This window comes from Homo sapiens, chromosome 11 (genome assembly GCF_000001405.40).
Source record: "Homo sapiens chromosome 11, GRCh38.p14 Primary Assembly".
Lineage (NCBI taxonomy): Eukaryota > Metazoa > Chordata > Mammalia > Primates > Hominidae > Homo > Homo sapiens.
In genome coordinates this window covers 41,877,262-41,900,002 of record NC_000011.10, presented here as the reverse complement: position 1 = coordinate 41,900,002, position 22,741 = coordinate 41,877,262, and positions in this window count along the sequence as shown.

Below are 22,741 nucleotides of genomic sequence, written 5' to 3'. Positions count from 1 at the left end.
TTAATTAGGCAGTATCAATGGCTCATGGCACCAAGATGATTACTGATGTTTTTTTTTTCTATTCCTAAGTTGGATCTGAAATGGCCTCACTCAGGGGACTCTCTGTTCTACATAGTGTCAGACTGAGCTGTTTTTATTCATTTGTTCATTTTTCAGGATGAGCTATTTACACTGTGGTCCAAAACATCTTCAATTTTTAGTAGCTTAAAGCCACACAGGTTTATTTCTCACACATACCACATGTCCGTGTTGAGCTAGTACCTGTGCTGGCTCAGGGTTTCAGCCTGATGAGAGCCTTCACATCAGGAATCTCACCAGTTATTGCTCCAGGGAAAAGGAGGGAAGGCAAATTGTGCACTAACTCTTAACTGCTTGGCCTTGGAAATGAAAGACAAAGCTTCCTCTCATATTCCATTGGCTAAAGAAAGAAAGATGATCATGCCTGACTTCAGAGCACAGGACATTTCAAACATATTTCACACCTTTAAAAATGAGAATTAGAATATTACAAACAGCCCTATTATCTTTCAAAACATTTTTGCTGTTGTGTTCAGCTTTCTAGATACATTTTTTCTTTTTCATAGTAAGTCATACTAATTGTCTGTAGTGTGGTTTTAGATTTGTTAATGGTATACATTCAAATTCTCATAAGTGCTGTCATCTAACTGGCATATGTTTGGTGTCTAAGCCCAGCAATACATTTATTGCTTAGTGGAGTGGAGTGGAGGCTACTTCCACAGAGAACTGATCTCAACCATTATTTGTTGACTCTTTTAAGTTATCATGCTTTAAAGGTCTGCATGCTGCTATTACTTCCATGTACACACACCCAGAATCATCTTCTAACTCTCTGGATTAGTAATAAGATGGGTTCGTGTGCTCTTTTTCTGGGAAATTGAAATCCACTGAGATTATGTGATAACTGTTTATTTGTCAGTTGCACCAAGCTAAGGCTCATTTTTCAGAAGGAAAAAAGTTCTTTTCTCTCTATAGACTATATCCACAATTTAATCAAAGACAATATGATGTGGTAGAAAAGGTCACAGACTTTGGAGCCAGATAGATATGGATCTCAGTATAAACTTTTTTAACCTATCAGTGTGACCACTTTCGGTGCTAACCTCTTTCAGATTCTTTTTCCTCATGTATGAAACAAGACAATGGTACCCAAATAGGAGTTTTGTCATTAGTTAATGTTACAAATCAAATGTGCCCAACATAGAGCCTGACATAAGAAAGGCTACTTCCATTTCAGAAAATGTTTGTTATAGCAACTTTCTGAATATTGTGCCAGAAGACACAATGTGAAATAGGGAATATTCTCCAAACAATGTGTTTATTCACCTCTGTTTAGTGAAGTACTAAAGGTGTGTACCTAGCACAGTGCCTGGCACAGAGTAAATACTATAGTTTCCAAATGTTTGTAGAAAGAAACTTTTTAGAATGTAAACCAATAGTAGCTGCAGGTCTAGTTAATGGGAATCCTGCAATTTCTAATTTTCCAAAACAAAACTTCACACTCTTGAGGAAGGAAGAAATTAAATCTTGTTGTAATTTATATTCCATCTGAGGCTGTATTCTGCTATGATCCCACCCAGGCTGCCTGTAAATAAATAGTTATAAAACATAGACCCTGATAGAAATTCAAAGTCCTATTGCTTACATCCACTCTCTGTGTTCTCCCTTCCATTTTGTTTTTCTCACGAGCATTATAAAAATAAACAACCCCTGCTGAGTTATTTCTGTCCCCATCCATTTCTTTTTAGAAGCTTAACAATTCAGGGGAAATAAGCTCTAATTTATTTTTTCCTCTGTATTTAGCAGGACAACTAATCTTGATTTTAAAAAGCTGTCTGGAGTGTTTGTTTTGGCCTTTCCTATTAGCCTGGACAGATTTCATTAGTAACCAAAACATAAAAATGCCAACGTGTATTGGCCTCCAGATTGGTGTGCCTCTCCAAAGCATTTTCTAGGCCTTGGGATGACACTGAAGCAAGCCTTGAGGTTGAATGCTCACTAGACTTATGTTTGAGGGTATTATATTTTATGTATTTCTCTAGGGATGTTTGCTAGGCCTTCCTTTATTCCTCTTTGAGATTGCTATATACTGATCTCCCTCTCACTCCTGTTCTTTCTTATGGTTGTAAGACACTGGTAGCTGCCTCAGCCTTCCTTACAATTCTGACTCCGGTCATTTGTATGCTGAATACGTGCAGCACCCTAACCTCTTAGGTATCTAAACTTGCAATGCCTCACATTGAAAAAAAAACAATATTCCATGTGAAATATCATTGAATGTGAGAAGAATTCATATGCTAGAATAAAAATTGATTCCATTTTCTACACATTGTGAAAGAAAAAGTAAAGATTCTGATGTGTTGGCTAGATCATGAAATCTAATCTATATTTCAAAGTCAATAAGAATGATAATTTGGAATCAGTTCAATTGTGCTTTGACTTTAGTTTACTGCAAAGTAAAAAACAGTGCAAAGGAAATACATAAGTTAAGGATAAGAGTGAATGTGGTTCCCCAATGTCACCCTACTTTGTCTGAAAGATGCACCTTAAGTTCAGTGGTCAAGGCACCCCTACAGGAGAGGAAAAAATGCTTCTTAAGAAAGTCAAAACCTTTTCTATGGCTTACAGGCTATATCAGTACTCAAGGGTTTACACTAGGTACTATAAGAGACATTCCTCATGATACCACAGTTACAGATACCCAATGTTCATAGATGTGGCCATGACTTTCTATATCAATTTGTAAGCTCCAAACTTGTTGAGGATATTAAAAAATAATCTATGCTAATTTATAAAAAAAACCATAAACCATCATTGTTATGACACATTGTGAAAATTTGCTTCTTTAGAGTTCCCTTTCATTTGCTCACCATGGAAGTGATAATGCTTAGTGCCTTGTCTATAAATAGTGCTCACTAATATTTAATGAGATGAGAGGAAATTATGCAGTTAAAATGGAGGGACATCTACAACAAGAACACCAAAAAACAAACCTTGTCAACATATGTAACAAGTAAGATCCAGTAACAAGATCAAAAGAAATATGCTTATGAAGAAAAATGTATGTGAAAAGTTGAATTGATCATCTTTTTAAAAGCATTATAGAATGAAAGAATACATATAAGGAAAACCAGTTATATAAATAATTTATACTCTTGATCTAATTGTGTCATATTGGACAAAAATTACTTCACCTTTTTCACATGAAAAAATAGGCATTTGACTATATAATTTACTAAGATTTATTAGATTTTCCACAGTATTTATTATGAGTAGTATTTTTATAAACTCATGAGGAAAACTCAAGTAATACACTAAGGTCGATGTGTTTTTAATTTACTCTGTTTTCTACAGATTGTTTTCCTAATAAACAATAAATTTTTAATATTTCAGCTGGTCAATGTGTATGTGGGAAGTTTGACAATTTAATTCAGTTTTTGAATGCTTCATTTCATGTCAGATTGGCAAATAGGAATAAAAACATTATCACCAGCCATCTCTGGCACCTCCTTTTCTAACAACTCCTGTCGATATAGGTGAAAATGATCCAGACCTCAAAAATGGGAAAGAGAATAAAGGGACAGAATTTCAATCCCTACTGTCAGTAGTGTCTATGGAAATCCCATAAAATATTTTAGCTTTACAGGAGGAAAAATTCAAGGCAGATTGAAAAGTTACAAGCATCTTCACATAAAATAATAATAACCACTGTAATTGAATATGGACAAGACAAATGAGAAAAGCAACCAACTTTCTGATGAAATATTTAATGGAAATATTACTTAATAGGATGAATTGCTGATCTGAAGATGCAAGCTCCACTGAGGAAGAGCAAGGAGAGCTCTGTGCTGAAGCTAAACAGATATAGAAGCTGTTCTCTTTGATAGATTAAGAGGAAGAGGGCGATAGCTAATTTAGTAGAATGAAATTTTCACCGTTTTCCTTCCTTTTTCTCGCTAGGATTCATTTCCTCCCTTCCTTTCCTTTTTTATATTCAAGAAAAATGTTTAATGCATGACAAACAGAAAGTGAAGACCCTCATGTATTCATTTATTCAGTATATTTAATATATACTTTAAACTTTTAAAAAATGCTAAATCATAGTGAACATTGATTCTGGGAGAAACTAACAAGTTGGTTTCACTCTTATCCCTTTTAAGATCACTCTTTCCCTGTTAATTTTTTTTTTATACGGAAAGCTCTTGGGGGTTTTTCTTCAAGTGTGTTGAATATTCTGTTGTTTCATGTTCTAAGTCATATCCATTATAGGACACATAATCCTTCACACCCAGAAGTTCCTTTACTCAAAGGCTTGCAAGCTCCTCATCCCTGAAGTCACTATTGAGCCTGGAGTTTTCCGTCATCATCACCTGCAGATCTCTAGCATGGGCTGGTTTAAGATCGATGATCTTCAGAATGAGTGGGATGCTGTGCATAATGGCTCAGCAGGCTGCCTTCAAGTCGAGGTGCATTCCTTGCTATTTTCACCATGCATTTATTGTGCTGCCCAACCTGTCTTCCATTGATTTGGGTCCATTCACTGTGGTGTAATAGGATATAAAAAGTAAACTTTTTGAATTGAAAATGCTGCCTTCTTCTCAACACTTGGCTGTAGCTGGAGAATCCACTTCCAAGATGTTGAAATTGCATGACTAGTAAATTGGTATTGACTGTTGGCAGGAGGCCTTCATTCTCACACATGGACTTCACACTGAGGTTCTTGAGTATCTTTATGGCATGACAGATGGCTTCCTCTAGAGCAAGTTCCACAAAAGGAAAAATCTGTAATGATTTTTATGACCCAGGGTCAGAAGTCACACATCATCATTACTGCAACTTATTAATTGGTTATACAGATCAGCCTATTTATTTGTGCTGGGCAGTACTACATGAGTGAATGAATAGCATGAAGTGAGAATTATTGAGAGTCATCTTGGAAGCTGGATAAGAGGGGTTTTAGATATTTTGTGTTGACAATGGTATATTTGTAGTTAAAAAGAGAGACTTTCAGATTGCATTATTATTACTCAAAAGTCACTCCCTTCCTGGACCTGTATTCATCAATGTTTTCTATAAACATTCCCAAAATCTCAGTGGAGCAGCATTTATTTCCTTCTTACATTAGTTTTCAGTGGCTGCGGGTCACACTGTTTCTCTATTTTGTTCTCTTCTTTTCTGCCTCGTATATTTTCTCACATTTCATTTGCCAAGCAAGTCACATGCCCAGGCTGATAATGGAACGTGGAAATATATTCTCATAAAGAGTATGGCAAGGGAGTGGATACTATCATCTATATCACTTATAGTAGCAAAATAATGGTCCTCAAAGTTGTCCATCTTTTAATTCCCAGAACCTGTGAATATATATGGCATTATATGGCAAAAGGAACATGAAAGTTGTAGATGGAATTAATGTTGCTAATGATCTGACTTTAAAACAGGGAGATTGTCCTGGATTATCTAAGTAGACCCATTTTAGTCAAAAGAGTCCTTAAAAGTTCTAATTTATTAGTGGGAACAGTTCACCTAATCATTGAGGTAAAGAATGGAAATTCGGAGGGTGTATGTCTGGCCTTGTCATAGATAAACAATAATGGCATTCCTAAGTCTTAGTCTATGAAAAGGGTGGCTCTTTGCAGTAAACCAAAGAGGCAAAGGCACCAAAGAAGAAGGAGGGATTAGCCTTGATTAGCCTTCACTGTGTTCCAGGAGTACAGGGTTCAGGTAAAACTCAACATTGTTAATAGTAAATTTGTATTGCTTAAGTAATTAAGTTTGTGGTAATTTATTATGGCAACAATAGAAATGTGATACACTATCCTTTCCAAGTGACTTACAGTGTTTTCCCATATTACGGACATAGCTAACCTACAACTATCAACATTTAACATGAGCAGGAAATAAATGTTGGTTGTTATAAACCATGTTGATATATTGATACTTACAGTAACTGCTGATAGAATATTATCTCATAGAGTTGTTGAAAGATACAATAAATATATATACACAAAGTGAATACATAGAGTGAATATATATACATATATTTACACAGATACATATATTTACACAGATACATATAAAATACATACACACACACGCACACATATAAATTGCCTAGGACACAGTAAGCACTAAATGCAAACAATTATTGATTTTGTAGAAAATATTGTTAGTCTCACTGTTATTAGACACTCCAGTAGAAATGCTAAGTTATTGGTTATATTTCTGTATCTAGAGTTCAGGGGAGAAGGCTAGGGCAGAATAAAATGAGAGTCTACAGCCTGTATACACCCTATGGTATTATCACCTTGGGACAAGGAAGAGTGTGGTGTTATTGGCCAAATATAACTAAGAGGAAAAACAGGAGCAAAGAATGTCCCAGAAGCAAACAGCAACAAGAAAACAAACACACACACACACACACACACACACACACACACACAAGTTCAAGGAGAGAATAATCAACTGTGTCAAATACTGCTGATGGGCAAGTAATACAATTAAAAATGAGCCATTGCATTTAGCCAAGTAGAGACCATTGGCGATCTTGACAAGCGATGTTTCATTGGAGTGGTAGAGATACAGTCTGATTGAAGTGGTTGTAAAAGAGACGAGAAAAATAGAAAAAGCAAATGTAACAAGCTGTTTTAATGAGGTTTGCTTTAAAAAGGAGGAAAGAAGAAAGGCAGTAGTTGGAGAGATATGTGAAGTTCAATAAGGCTTTTATTGTATTTGTTTTATTATTTTCCATATTGGAAATATAAAGCATATTTATATTACTAGAGAAATGATATACTTTATGAAATTATCAGGAGATGTTGATAATGTAGGATAGAGTGGAGAATTGCTGAAAGCATATTCTTTAAGAGGCCAGAAATGATAGTTCCTCTATGGTAAAAAGAAGGACAGCACAGAATTAGAATGCAGGCGCAAATATAGTAAACAATTAGACCGTGGGAATACACAGCCATTTTCACGTAATTGTGTTTATTTTCTAGTGAGAGAGTGAACACGATCATCAGCAGAAAATGAAGATAGAGGTGGGATTGAGCAGAGAGTCAAAGGTGGGAAGTGGTCATTGAGAAAGTGGAAGAGTGGGTGAAATAGAGCATGTAGTAGGATTGTTAAGCAGCACTAAAAATGCACTTAGTGTTGGTGGCCACTAATTTAAAGTGAGATCAGTCAGCCGTGTTGTTTTTCTCCACTCACATACATCTGAGCAAATGTGTAAACAAAGCAAGCAGAGAATTTGATATAACCAGAGTTGGGGTTTTGTCAGCTAAGTGCTCAAAGGAAGAAGAGGGAAAGGAAGTGAGAGTATGATAGTCAATGGTTTAGAGGAAGGATAGAATCTACAGCTATGCATGAAGGGATGTGAACTTGGAGGAGAAACAGTTCAAACATCAGATGAACAATAGAGTGCAGACTCCAACAAGTAAAAACACATAATGAAGTTATAATATTAGAACAATGTATTAGAAAGATTCAGATGAGATTCAGTGGAATACTTGACATTGGGATATTGCAGATGAGCAGTCATTGGAAATAACAATGGAATGAGTGTTTGAACTGAGGAAAATGCAAGAATGCTGGACGAGAAGAGGTCAAGAAAATGAGAGGCTAAGACTTTGAAAGAATTGTTCATTTGGAGGTTGAAATCTCTAATAACTAAGAAATTAGTATTATTGCAGTGATGTTGAAATGTATTTATTTAGATCTTATTGTATTCTATGCCTTGGGGAGAAAGAGAGAAAGTTAAAATAAAACAGAGAAGAACAAAACAAAAAGAGATAATATATCTTTCCTCATGGACTTCTCAATCTTGTCGAGGCTGACCCTTCCTGAGGATATACAGAGAGGTTGGCTTCAGTTATGATGGGAGAAGTTTTCTTCAAAATAATATCTATCAATGATTTTTCATATGATTTAGTCAACTATTGGGCACCTTTTTCTATTAACCCTTTATTCTTTGCAATTGTGTAGTTTGACTTCTAATTCAAATCTATGATTGTACTTAATTTTCACTCATGGGAAGATTTTTTTCCCAGACATCAAATTCCAAACTATATTCTCTTTAGAGTATCATAAGATATCCTGCTAAAAACCAGGGGTAGGGGTGTAACAGGGGCAGTACTAGTGTCAAAAATCCCACATGAATTAGGCCAGTAGTCTTTAACTTTTTGTAAGTTGCAGAGTATAATAAGGAATCAGTGCAGATAATCCATTTACATGTGGAACTTAATTTCCAAAATATAGGCTTCCTCTAAGTCCTTCTTTTACCTAAAATGTGTTTTTTTATGAACGAACTAGATATAGAGGAGATTCACTGCATAGCATGTGCCTAAAGCATAGCTCTGGATGATATAAGTAAAATTGAAGCATGCATTGTGAAAATTAAAATAACATTCAGATAAAATACTTAAAGAAATAATAAAAATCTATCAAAAAAGAGATGCTCACAGCATATAGCCTTTATCCAATTGAGGACAACGAAAACAAGCAAATCAACCAACAAGCAAACAAACAGCTAACCTCGAATAGACATTTTTCTGAACAACTTCACTATGAGTCTGCATGGTACATCTCCCTTTCACCCCATCCCACATACACATACACACAATTAATGTAGACCACTTACTAGCAGACAGAGCCCATGAGTGAAACCCGGGTAAAACCTTACAGATTACCATTTCTTAAGCCACTTTCAGCAATCAGGTTTTATGCTTTTATGTTTCTTCAGCCTTTATGAGTTGTTAAACGTAGATAACACAGATATATTCGTGTCCTTGTATTACGTGCTCTTGAAAAATGGAGGCTTCCAGGTGCTCAAACTAAATACAGTCACTCTATCCTCCACTGGCAGAGATCTCATCCTGATATTAATTTCTAAGTAGGTTGGGCATCTCTTACTAACAGTGAAATTGAACTCCATCACACGTCAACTTGTTTGATTAGAAAACCAAAAGCTACTTTCTTCTGGGAAAATTCATGGTCTTCTTTTTGCCATACTGCACAAAACTAGGTGGGGTGAAGAAAATAATGGAAAGAAATTAAAAGAAACAACCTACTCAATAATAAAAATGAAAAGTCACAAAAAGCAATTATATAAAAGTTCTGGCCGGCACAGTGGCCCACGCCTAAACACTTTGGGAGTCCAAGGTGGGCGGATTGCCTGAGCTCAGGAGTTCACGACTAGCCTTGCCAACATGGTGAAACCCCGTCTCTACTAAAACACAAAAAGTTACTCAGGGGAGGCAGCATGCGCCTGTAGTCCCAGCTACTCGGGAGGCTGAGGCAGAAGAATCACTTGAACCCAGGAGGCAGAGGTTGCAGTGAGCCGAGATCACACCACTACACTCCAGCCTGGGTGACACTTCGAGACTCCGTCTCAAAAAAAAAAAAAAATTCCACAAAACTAACCTGCTACCCAGAATAACTATTTCACTATCCCAAGTTAATTTTTTTAAATAATATTGAAGCCTGTATCAAGGTCATGGCTGGGGTGAGGGGTGGGGGACATGGAAGAGAAGGGAGGAAAGACAATGAGAAAGTACATTCACAAGGAAGGACTGAAGGAGACTCAATACTAAGTGAAGAAATGGAGAGCCATCATTTATTTTTCTCTACCATGCTATACCTGAAATGTGTAGGCATGCTTTTGTGTATATATGTGTGGGTATGTGTATGTTTGCATGCACTCACGTGTATATTTCTATGTGCACACATGTATGTATTTCTTCTGGTTATGTGAATGTTTCTGTGATGCTTAGGGTTTTTTGTAGCCAAGAGCAAATAAAATTCCATTTTACACTTGATGAAGACCAACATTTGTCAAAGTTAGACTTTTGACTCTGGGCCTCTACTTATTAGTTTATATTGATACATAGGTATCTCATATAGAAAGGCAATACTATTGACACACAGTAACAGAGCACAGACTTAGAATTGCTACTCTAAGAAGGTTCTGCGTGCTTTTACATGCTGATATATATAGCATAACAGTTGAAGTTAAAGCCAATTCCAAAATAAGATGAACTAAACCTACATAATAAAAATGGATAACATTATTTAGATCTTACAATATGCCATGTACTATGTTAAGCACTTTTATTTGATTATCATATTTGATTGTCCCAAAAACCTATTAAGGGAGCTACTATTATTATGTCTGTTTTGTAGATGAGGAAGCTCAGATTTAAAGAATTATAGATGAGAAAACTCAACTTCCCATGATGATGTACCTGGATAAAGAGTGGCAGAGGTGTATGAAAATCCATCATCTTATTCCAGTGCTAACTATTAACCAGTGCATTATATTCAAGATAACCTTGGACCAAGTAGGCAGAGATTAACACTCATTGCAAACCACAGATCATTCTCTAAATGATTCCAGTCAGAATAAAGAATCTATAAACCCGCTATTCTAACAAGAGAGAAAAGAAGATATAGAAGATTATATGTATATATGTATATATAAAGAATATTTTATATATATATATATATATATATATAGAGAGAGAGAGAGAGAGAGAGATGTGACATTCGTGGTAATGCAATGACATTGCCCAGGAGATAAAACATAGAAGATCCTCATCAGCATTCACAAATTTCCTAAATATAATATAAAAATGCATTTCTTGCCATACTTAATGACTATCTGCTGCCACTTGGAGTGATTGGAGCTTCCTTTGCAGGTTTTTTTTGTTGTTGTTGTTGAAAACCTATCTTTCTCTCTCTGTTTGTCAAACCCAACAGAATCCATAAAACGCATTAAAAGTCCCATTGTGGAGCCAAAGCATTATTGAACTACAGTGACAAAGAGAATAAGAGGCACAGATGCCAGCCACCACAACGGAAGCAGCAGGTTCACACGTACTGGAAAGCAGGTATGTTCCCCACAGGACATATTTGGAAAAGCTGGCCACTCCTTCAAAAATTAAAGCACTTTTAGAAATCATATATATTAATATCAATGCCCTTTGAAGTAATATTTGAGAATACACAATAAAATATGGGCAAATCTCAACTGCAATGACATGTTCTAATAAAGGCTCAGAAAACCTGGTTTTGTTACCTCTGCACCATAATGTTGTTTCTCAACCTACTTTCTAACTCCAGTGAGTATTAGTCAGGCCCTGTCTCAACGAGCATTAATTACCTCATACCTAGGTTCTTTTTCAAAGATTATAGAGTGGTAGCCTAACGGCTAAATCACACAACTCACATAATTTTTTTCTGCACAGTGTAAGTATATAAATGCACATTATGTGTATTTATGTGTATAACATATGTACTTGTGTATATATATATATACACACATATATACACACTCATAATTATACACATGTATTCATTATATATGAGTGTGTGTGTGTATGTGTATATATATATATATATATATGTCAGTGCTTTAGAATAATAGAGATGCACTGTCTTCTTTGCCATTGTTTCTTTATACATTTACATTGCCTGACTGCAGCTTTACATACTTCTCAAGTCATTTCAATTGTACATGTTTTGTATTCTTAACTAGATTGGGCTCAAGGGAGGCATTCTCTGTTTCACTTTTTTTCAGGGCACAGGCACATCAGCTCTTATATTTAAAAGCAAAATTTTGTTCACTCATATAGTTTTAGAAAATTCATCATATTCTCAAAGGAGTTCACTACCCAGAGAAATTTTAAAGGTCTCATAAAGACCTCTAGTTCCCACTCATTATTTTATAAACTCTATTATTTTATGTATGGGAGGGAAGGGAAGTGTCTAAGCTAAAGTTGATACTAGAATATATACCATACTAATTAATGCCAGTCTAGGACTAGAATGAGGTCACCTGACTAGCAGACACAAGTGCCATTTTTACTACATCAATCTACGTTTAGGTTCTTCATCAATATTTGCTTCAATCTGTTTGGCAACAGCTAGGTAAAAGGATAACTGAATGTCACAATCTCTATTTTAAAAAGAGGCAAATTTGAATCATTTATTTTTAACTACATAAGTATATCTATATTGTCTGATTCTGTTCTGGATGTGTTGCTCCGAGGTCATAAAACAAATTTTCTTTTTTTTTTTAACATTTATTTATTTATTTATTTATTTATTTATTTATTTATTTATTATACTTTAAGTTTTAGGGTACATGTGCACAATGTGCAGCTTAGTTACATATGTATACATGTGCCATGCTTGTGCGCTGCACCCGGTAACTCGTCATCTAGCATTAGGTATATCTCCCAATGATATCCCTCCCCCATCCCCAAACCCCACAACAGTCCCCAGAGTGTGATGTTCCCCTTCCTGTGTCCATGTGTTCTCATTGTTCAATTCCCACCTATGAGTGAGAACATGCGGTGTTTGGTTTTTTGTTCTTGTGATATTTTACTGAGAATGATGATTTCCAATTTCATCCATGTCCCTACAAAGGACATGAACTCATTATTTTTTATGGCTGCATAGTATTCCATGGTGTATATGTGCCACATTTTCTTAATCCAGTCTATCATTGTTGGACATTTGGGTTGGTTCCAAGTCTTTGCTATTGTGAATAATGCCGCAATAAACATACGTGTGCATGTGTCTTTATAGCAGCATGATTTATAGTCCTTTGGGTATATACCCAGTAATGGGATGGCTGGGTCTAATGGTATTTCTAGTTCTAGATCCCTGAGGAATCGCCACACTGACTTCCACAATGCTTGAACTAGTTTACAGTCCCACCAACAGTGTAAAAGTGTTCCTATTTCTCCACATCCTCTCCAGCACCTGTTGTTTCCTGACTTTTTAATGATTGCCATTCTAACTGGTGTGAGATGGTATCTCATTGTGGTTTTGATTGGCATTTCTCTGATGGCCAGTGATGAAAAGCATTTTTTCATGTGTTTTTTGGCTGCATGAATGTCTTAGAACAAATTTTCAATGACAATGGCGACAAACATCCGAAGGAAGTGACTTCAGTTTCTGGGAAGAATGATGCTCGAGTGTAGTTATTAGTGTTGTCTTGCTTAGGAATGCTTGTCTCCTTTGAGTTACTGTGTTATGCTTCCTCCTAAATTTTCCATAAATAAAAGTATATTTTGGGAAAATGAGAGTGGTAGGGAAAAGAATGAGAACTGCTGTCCATTTTAGAGACCATCTGGTGCAAACCCAAATGCCATTTCAGCTGACCTAGACGTATTGCTTCAAGTATAATTTTTTTTCTTGTAAATCTTTTCCTAAGTTTCACTTCATTCACCTTAGATCACATGTACATTTGGTTGGGCCATGCTCATGCTGTGGCAGTGTATTTAGGAAGTGGCTCTTTTTCAGCACTTTTAAGTCTCAAGATTAAATACACTCCATTCAAAAAGATACAATCTTTTAGGCACTAGATAGTTTCAGGAATGCAGAACCTTCTTTACTAGGCTCATACTCCCACTCAAGAAAGCCCTTCAGGTTTAGCAAGTTCCACCCACCTATTGCATTTCTTTGAAAAGCACAAAGGATGAAAAGAAGTAGATGATCTCTCGAGAATGCTGAGTTTCTAATCAATTTCCTGCTGAAAATGACATCAAAAGTAAATTTGAGTCAATTTTGAAAGGCAAAGAAAAATCTCTCTGTTCCTTCTCAGTCAATATTACTTGAGACTTATAACCTCTTATCTCAAGCTTTTCTTAATTTTTTCTTCTCCCCTACTCTGTTCCGTTGAGGATCAGAGTTCAATCAAATGAAAACCATTAGGAAGAAATACGTGACAATTCCACACACAAAAAATATAAAGACTAAGAGCATTTAACAGACCAAAACAAGATCAGATGAAGCACGATTTGAAAGAAGATAGAAATGATGATACTTTCCATATTAGCAAAAATTAATAAAAGCCCCAAATAGACATGGTTCCTAAAAGTAAGTAGGACAGCTCTAAAGAACTAAAGATTTTTATTGAGTATCTACCGTGAATACTGCACTGTGACTGCATCCAGACAGAAATACAGGGGAATATAAACTTGACAAAGCCCAGCCCTTAAGTTACTTACCATATAGGTGAAGGCATAAAATATAGGCTTGTGAAAAATAAATATACAACAAAATGGTAAGCAATTGGTATAGATAGACAAGAATCATTAAAGAAGATTCCAGAAACCTCCCTGCATAGAGTATGAGGCACTTTTAGTATTTGTGGTAAAAATTTTTCATTTATATAATCTTTATTGTTATGAGGGAATTTCACATGCATTATCTTCTCTTATTCTTAGATTAACATCATTACATAGGTAGGTTCCATTTCATAAACAGGTGAACTGGGGATTAGATATTTTACAGAATTTTCTCAATGCTATATGGATGGATAGTGTCAGAATTTTGATTTGAACCCCCAGCTATAGTCCTAAACCGATATAGGATGGTCAAGGTAAATAAAGTACTAGAACTTAAAAGAGCCATTACTTGATTTACCAGTTACATACAGAATGATGAAATAGGTATTGCTTACCTGGCCATACCTACACTTCTATGAGAAAGCAGAAACCCTTTCTAGAAAGGTAGGTACAGACAAGTATGCAATACTATTAAATATGATACATGAGCTAATTGGAGGAATAATGATGATCAAATAACTTTTGCTGCAACTTCTGGAAGGCTTGGATTGTTACCTTGGTGCTCTCCTAAAGTAGGAGCATGTATTATACAGACATAAAAAGTGGTTCAGGACATCAAGAATTTGAGAATATTGGGGGAAACCAGTACCTTACCATAAAAGATTCACTATATAAGAGGGGGAAAAATCTTACCATTTGAGAGAAAAGGAGGCAATGCCAGTCTAGGTAGGGGTCTAATCTTTAAGGAGAGAAAATATGTTTTTAAATTTCATTGCTACCATGTTCTAGGTACAAAACATTTGAAAAGTTAGATTTCCTAAGGCTTCTTAAGCCTCATCTATTAATGGTATAAATAACCATATAGTAGGTACGTAGATGAATATTGCCTGCTGACAGCTCATAGATTTGAAAACACCCAGAAAGATGTTTTCAGACAAAAGAAGCTGCCCTATCAAAGCTAATGCCTACCAACGAGGCAGCCCATTAACCATGTCACTGTGGGGAGCCAAAGGCACACTACCTTGATGTGGGACAAATCTAAAGGGCCTTCTCAGCTTCTGAACTCTACATGGGAACAGCTAATATCTTCATTATAGCTCAATACTATTTCATTATATTATCATTTCATCATCATTGTTAGTTAATCATTACTTCATTATATTTCAATTTCTCCTTCTGACCAATCTTGCATTGTTCCTTTCTTCATAGGTGTTATAGAGGCCACTTTCTAATACACTTTCTACACACAGTTTTCCATTTGAATGTTTTCTAGTGAATCTCACTTAATGGAGTTGGTGCCTGGAGTGATCATAGAATAAGCAAACCCCAAGGTAGAATATAGAGGCTACTTTCTAATACAATTTCTACACACAGTTTTCCATTTGAATGTTTCCTAGTGAATCTCACTTAATGGTGTTAGTGCCCGGAATGATCATAGTATAAGCAAACCCCAAAGTAGAATTCTGGAGCTCTACCATCTGCTGTGGTAAGTGGAAAGCTGATTGACCCTGGGATGCTCTATTGGTGCAATTATAAAAACTTTTACTGGTGATGAACTAGAATGAATTACCTTGGATGGGAATGCCCTAGCCATGCAATGACTCAGGGAAGTTGTAATATCAAGGACAATGGAATCAGATGACATTATTATAATTTTTTATGAGTACATAGTAGGTATCTATATTTATTGGGTACATGAGATGGTTTGGTAAAGGCATGTAATGCATAATAATCACAGCGTGGAAAATGGGGTATCCGTTCCCTCAAGCATTTACTGTTTTTGTTAAAAATAATCTAAGTATACTCTTTTAGTTATTTTTGAATGTACAATTATTTTAACTATTTAACAATTATTTTAACCCTGTTGTGCTATCAAATACTAGGTCTTATTCATTCTTTCTATCATTTTTTGTACCCATTAACCTTATCTACCTTTCCCCACTTCCCCACTACCCTTCCCAGACTCTGGTAACCATCATTCTACTCTCTATCTCCATGAGTTCAATTGTTTTGATTTTTAGATCCCAGAAATAAATGAGAACATGTGATGTTTGTCTTTCTGTGCCTGCTTATTTCACACACCATAATGAACTTCAGTTCCATCCATGTTGTTGCAAATGACAGGATCTCATTCTTTTTATGGTTAAATCGTACTCCATTGTGTATAAATACCATATTTTATTTATCCATTCATCTGTTGATGGATGCAGGTTGCTTTCAAATCTTGTCTATTGTGAACAGTGCTGCAATAAACATGGGAGCACGGATAACTCTTTGATATACTGACTTCATTTCTTTTGAGTATATTCCCAGCAGTAGGATTGCTAGATAATATGGTAGCTGTATTTCTAGTTTTTTGAGGAACCCCCGAGCTATTCTCCATAGTGGTTGTACTAATTTACATTCCCACCAACAGTATACAAGGCTTCCCTTTTCTACACATCCTCTCCAGCATTTGTTATTGCCTGTCTGGGTTAAAAGCCATTTGAACTGGGATGAGATGATATCACATCGTGGTTTTGATTTGCATTTCTCTGATGATCAATGATGTTGAGCACCTTTTCATATTTCTCTTTGTCATTTGTATGTCTTCTTCTGACAAATGTCTATTCAAATCTTTTGCCCACTTTTAAATCAGCTTATTATATTTTTTCCTGTAGAGTTGTTTGAGGTCCTCATGTATCTGAAATCAGATGACTACTGTTCAGTCACATTGATGCATTAGAAAACCACAAGGAAAGGTTCAGGTTAATATGCTAGCAATTTAAGGTTAAGTGTGAAAATGAGAGTACCTACTACGCAACTTATAAAAAAGGTTTTTATCTCTTCCATCCTGAGGTCAGAAAAGCAAAGATTAAGATGAGGACTGAATCAAAAGAACAGCAAAGAAAGATGAATTCTCAGTCCCAGCAAGTCCACTGTGCCAAGCTCAATACCCTAGTTAGGAAAGAGTAGGACACAGAGATGTGGAGTGGGGGATTCTGGGTCAATACACTAAAAATTCTAGAAACCTAAGATTTCCCTGAAGCATCTGGGCATGCAAAAATGTCCCACTTTTTTTCTCTCACCACCCCTCCTACTGTTTGGAGAACAGGTAGAGGCTTTTGCCTTGTAAGATGATATATGCCTGCTCAGGATCTATGCCTGCCTTATTTCTTAGATGCCAAATATATACCTGGGATCAAGATATAAAACAAGATAACCTAGGTATGGAAGTCCTGGGCTTCCTGAAGGATAAAATGGATTATGCCCAGAAGAAGCTGCAGGACCCAGAGTACACATGCTAGCAGGAACCAGCAGAGCAAACATAATACCATATCTTTATGACACAGGATCAAAGGGAAAAAAGGCAGGTACTGGGTAGAAAGCTGGATACGGATAAGTTTATTGATAGGAGAACACTCTACTGTGACACCAGATTTTAAATCTCTGACGCGAGATTTAAAAAAAAAAAAAACTGTGCTTTTATTCTATTAAGATGGCTCTTATAGGCCGGGCGCGGTGGCTCACACCTGTAATCCCAGCATTTTGGGAGGCCGAGGCGAGCAGATCACGAGGTCAGGAGATCGAGACCATCCTGGCTAACACAGTGAAACCCAGTCTCTACTAAAAATACAAAAAATTAGCCAGGCCTGGTGGTGGGCGCCTGTAGTCCCAGCTACTCGGGAGGCTGAGGCAGGAGAATGGCATGAATCCGGGAGGCGAAGCTTGCAGTGAGCTGAGATCGCGCCACTGCACTCCAGCCTGGGCGACAGAGAGAGACTCCGTCTCAAACAAACAAACAAACAAACAAAAAAGATGGCTCTTGTAAGCTTAGACAGAGATCCCCCATGCCAAGGGAAGGAGAAATGACAGGATCGTGGAAGGTGTAAAAGATGTAGAACATGTAGAAAGGTGAATTAAAAGACTCATGGAACCAGGAAAAATGCTAAGTTAGTCATTTAGCCACTGTTATTAGAGTGGAATCATATAAAGGTCAGGTAATCAGTGGAATGTTTGTCCATATCTAGCTCATAGTGGCCCACTAGGTTCACAAACTCAACCAGTGGTTATTTCCTAGTTTCCAAAGGTATAATGGAAATGGACATTCTTGATAATTCACACAACTTTCACATTACATCCTGATCTATGGGGCAAGAACTATTGGAAAGAGTAGGAAAATGAAGTAAAAACCTCTAAATTTGCCATTTTTTATCCCCAACCAAGATAGTAAATTAGAAACAATATCACATCCCAAAAGAAATATCAGAGATTTGTAAACTCTGGCAGACCTAGAAGATAAATGTGGTAGTTTGCATTTAATTCACTGCTTATTCCCTATCAAAAATCAGATGCATCTCAGAGAATTAAAGTAGACTACCCAAAACTCAACCAAGTAGCACCTCTTATTGCAGCTGCTTTGATGAATATGGTAGGTGTATAAGAGCAGGCTAACATGGACTCAGATGTATGCACCCATTTATCTAGTAAACACTTTCTTTTTTATCCCTAGTAAGAAGGGAAAAAATAAATTGTTTATAATCACATAAGATGGACAAGAGATTACATATCTATTCTTGCCCAGGTTATGCTTAGCATTCTTACTCTCTCTCATATTACAGTAAAAAAAAAGGATTTTGACTATCTTATTCTACAAAACCTTATATTGACTCGTATATCAACAATATAACGTCAATGACATACGAGTAAAATGTGCAAGTATGCCAGGGTTCTAGGTAACACACATTAGATTCAGAAAGTGGGTGATAGAGCCTATGACAATTTAGGAATCTTTGAAGTTATGCTTGCCTAGAACATACCAGGAAATTTTATGCAAAACAAAGGGAAATTTCTTTTCTTACCCTTACCAATAAGAATAAAACATATCTGTCTGGTAGCATCTTTGGTATCTGGAAGCAGCGTATTCCACACCTGGAAAGACTGCTATGATTCATAAGCGTGGAAGAATAAATAGCATCTGGTTATCTTCTATCCGTACTGATCTCCTTACCAAACATTTTCTTGACCACAGTCTTGATATTCTCTTCTAAACAAGCCTTTTTAGTCTTCACAACCTGATCAGGCTGATAATTTTGTAAATCTTTAAGTTCCGCTCCACTTTTCATTATAAATTCTGTCTTTAATTCATTTCTTTCTTCTCATGTTTTACCATAAGCAGTCAAGAGAAGACATGGAGCAGCCTGAACACTTTGCTTGGAGATTTCTTTCACCAAATATACTAGCTCATTGCTCTTAAATTCTGCCCTCTACATAGTAATAGGACACAAACACAATTTGGCCAAGTTCTTTGCCACTTTGTAGCAAGGATGGATTTTCTTTCAGTTTCCAATAAGATAATCCTAATTTCGGTCTGAGACCTTATCAGAATTGCCTCTTCTGTCCATATTCCTGCCAGAATTCTGATTATGAACACTTAGATAATCTCTAAGAAGAAGGACGTTCTCTCTATAGCTCTTTTCTTCTTCTGAGCCCTCAACATAATTACCCTTAATGCTTCATTCCTGGCAACCTAGGAATTTTCTACTATACACTTCAAAATTGTCCCAGCCTCTACCCATTATCGAATTTAAAAGCCATTTACACATTTTCATATATTTACTGTAGTAACACCCACTCCCTGTACCAATTTTTGTCTTTCTAATCTATTTGTGCTGCTATAACAAAATGTATGAGAGTGAGTAATTTATAAAGAACCAAAATTTATTTATTACAGTTCTGGAGGCTGGAAAGTTCAAAATCAAAAGACTGGAATTCAGTATCCATTATCTGCTGAGGGCCTTCTTGCGTCCTCACGTGGCAAAAGGGGTGAACACTATGTCCTCACATGGTGGAAGGTGGAAGGGCAAAAAGGGCCAAATACTGTGTGAAGCATCTTTGTAAGGGTTTTAATCCTTTTCACAATAGAGAACTCCTTATTACCTAATCACCTCCTAAATGTCCCACTTCTTAATATCATACTATTTTAGTGAAGATTAAGTTTTAACATATAAATTGGGGGGCAGGAGGTGGATACATTTAGATCATAACACAGCCCTACTTACACAGCAGAGATGAAGAGCAACAGAGATTTTTAAATTCTCCCAATGGCCAGAGCTTCCTGCAGTGTACTTCTTTATCTACTTTAAATGGAAGAATAAGTGGCCAAAAGTCAGAATAAATATAGCCTCATGGACAGTGGCAAATGCCTTGGCTGATTGGTTAGTCATCTGAAAGGAGAAAGTTTGGAAGATCAGGGACAAGGAAGTCTGGGAAAAATTATGTGAATAAACTATGGAACTGAGGCTCCGGTGTGACTATCTTTGTATTGCATATTTATAGCCACTAGAGATCATCTACCATAAGAGAAGGTTTAAATAACTAAGAAGTCAGAATGACTCAGCAAGTTGACTGCAGCCAATCATTGTCATTGTTCATCCCAGTCCTGGTATAATAGACACACAAATGGAGTAAATATAAGGCCAGGGATGGAAACCATCCATGATCTCAACAGCATGGACTCCCTCTGATCAAAGTGAATGTAACCACCTCTGCTTCTAAATATCATACCTACCATACCAGAAAGAGAATTCACCACTGAGCCCTTTACATGGCATCATTCCTTAAGCCACTCTTTCTACCATTTATGGGTCAGTGATTCATCTTTCCTGGAATAGACACATACCCTGGGTTTGGGCCTGTATTTCAAATTTGCAAAGTCTAGTCCAGTACCGCTATCCAACAGCTCACAACTATGAGCTAAAGATCAGTTGGTCCAGCCTTGATGTCTATGCATTATTGACAAAGAAAGAATACAGTATCGGACAAACCCAATTTTCTAGCAATACAAGGGGTATAAGCTGGAATCCCTTCTTTATTATGTGTGTCAGATTCCATCACAACCAATTCATTTTGGATAAATGACTAGATATTTTGTATAAATTACTTTTGCTTTTGGAAGCCCACAGAAGGAAGAGAATTAAAACATTTTCATAAATGGTGGAAAGAGAATATCAAATATCATGTCATTGTTTTACCTTCTTAACAATTAAGTAGAATTTAGGAGAAGTGACATATTCGTTTAATAAGAAACCTGTTGGGGCACTAAGAGGTAGTCACAATTGTCATTTTCTGAGACACACTCTGGGAGCAGGGCATTTATATTATATGTGGTTTAGGCATTAAAGGCAGTCATGGATCTCATGGATGTGTTAATTCATTAATAGTGTTATCATAATAGCTAAAAATACATGGCATCTACTATGTACTATACATATATATTCCTAAACCAGACTGAAAGCTGCACGCATTCAGCAATTGCCTTAAATTTCTTTAGTTATTCTTGAATTATACTTCCACATTTGATATTTTGTTTGTAGTAAATATCTGTTATTTTGATATTATTGTTATAGTTTCATATTTGGTATTTTAGTAATGCATAGGTTTCATTATTCCTGTTACATTTCTTCATTACAAAAGCAACAGCATATCTGGTGACTCAATTTAAAATGGAATACATGAATAATGTTTATTTGCAGATTGACAACTCAATTTGATGTGCGGCACTTCCCAAGGTGAGTCACTAACTCTCATGTCATCAGCCCAGAACTTTCTTAATCTTTTCTGAGAGAAACTACGTCAGTTCCTTGGGCTTCTTTCAAGAAAGTAAAATTATTTCCACAGAGAAGAAACAATCATTTTCTAAGCAATAAGGTTATTGAACTACTTTGGCTGAGTAAATAACTCTGTTTGCTTCAGGGCACATTCAGAGAAATTTCCAATTCTTGTCATGGATTATGACATGTTTTCCCCTTGATAAGACAACAGAAGTGTGTATTGGACATTTAAGCAGATTTCAGTGTGGAAGTTCTCAACACGCTGATTTTCCCAGGACTGCTTCTGGGTAAGCTCACCTACCTTCTTCATTGTTTAAGGGTGAAAAATCTCATTGTTTATGAGATTATTTTTATTTTATTTATTTCGTCTTTTCTCTTCCTACTCTACACTTTCATACTTTTTTAAACTTCAGAATTATTCTAGTGCAAATTAAACTCAGATTTTGAAGTCTCTCCCAAACCACAGTCTACCATTTATGATGTGTTCAGGAGACATGTAACTAGATGCCTTGGCAACATTTTAAAACAGAACTCTCTACTCTCCCTCCAAATCAATCTTCCCCCTTGCCTTCCCATCACCTTTGTATCTCTCTCTTCATTCACTCAATCTTCTTTTCACTCTATTAAATTCCTGAACTCTGCTCTCAGATGATCATTTTTGATAGAACATCTCTCCTCATTTATCCTCACAAGAATGTAAACTTTATAACTTTTGTCTACTAAACCCATTTGTTGCCAACTTCTGGAACAGTGCCCGACACATGAGTGCATGACACCTAAGCATGTAATAGGTATGTATGCAAGAAATTAATGAATCTCAAGCTCAAATGCCTTTGGTGGTTTCCTATTACATAACAAATTTACCTTGGCATTCAAATATTTTATAATGTTTATAATTATATTCTGGTAGTATATAGAAGCTATGATTATAATGAAAATGAAGACTCAATAATAATTTAAATAAATCATTGTTAGAAAAAATCTTTAACTGATTAGTTCTACAAAGTGTTTTGAACTTTTTCAATTAAAAAAACTAGATGAACTATGTACTAGGCA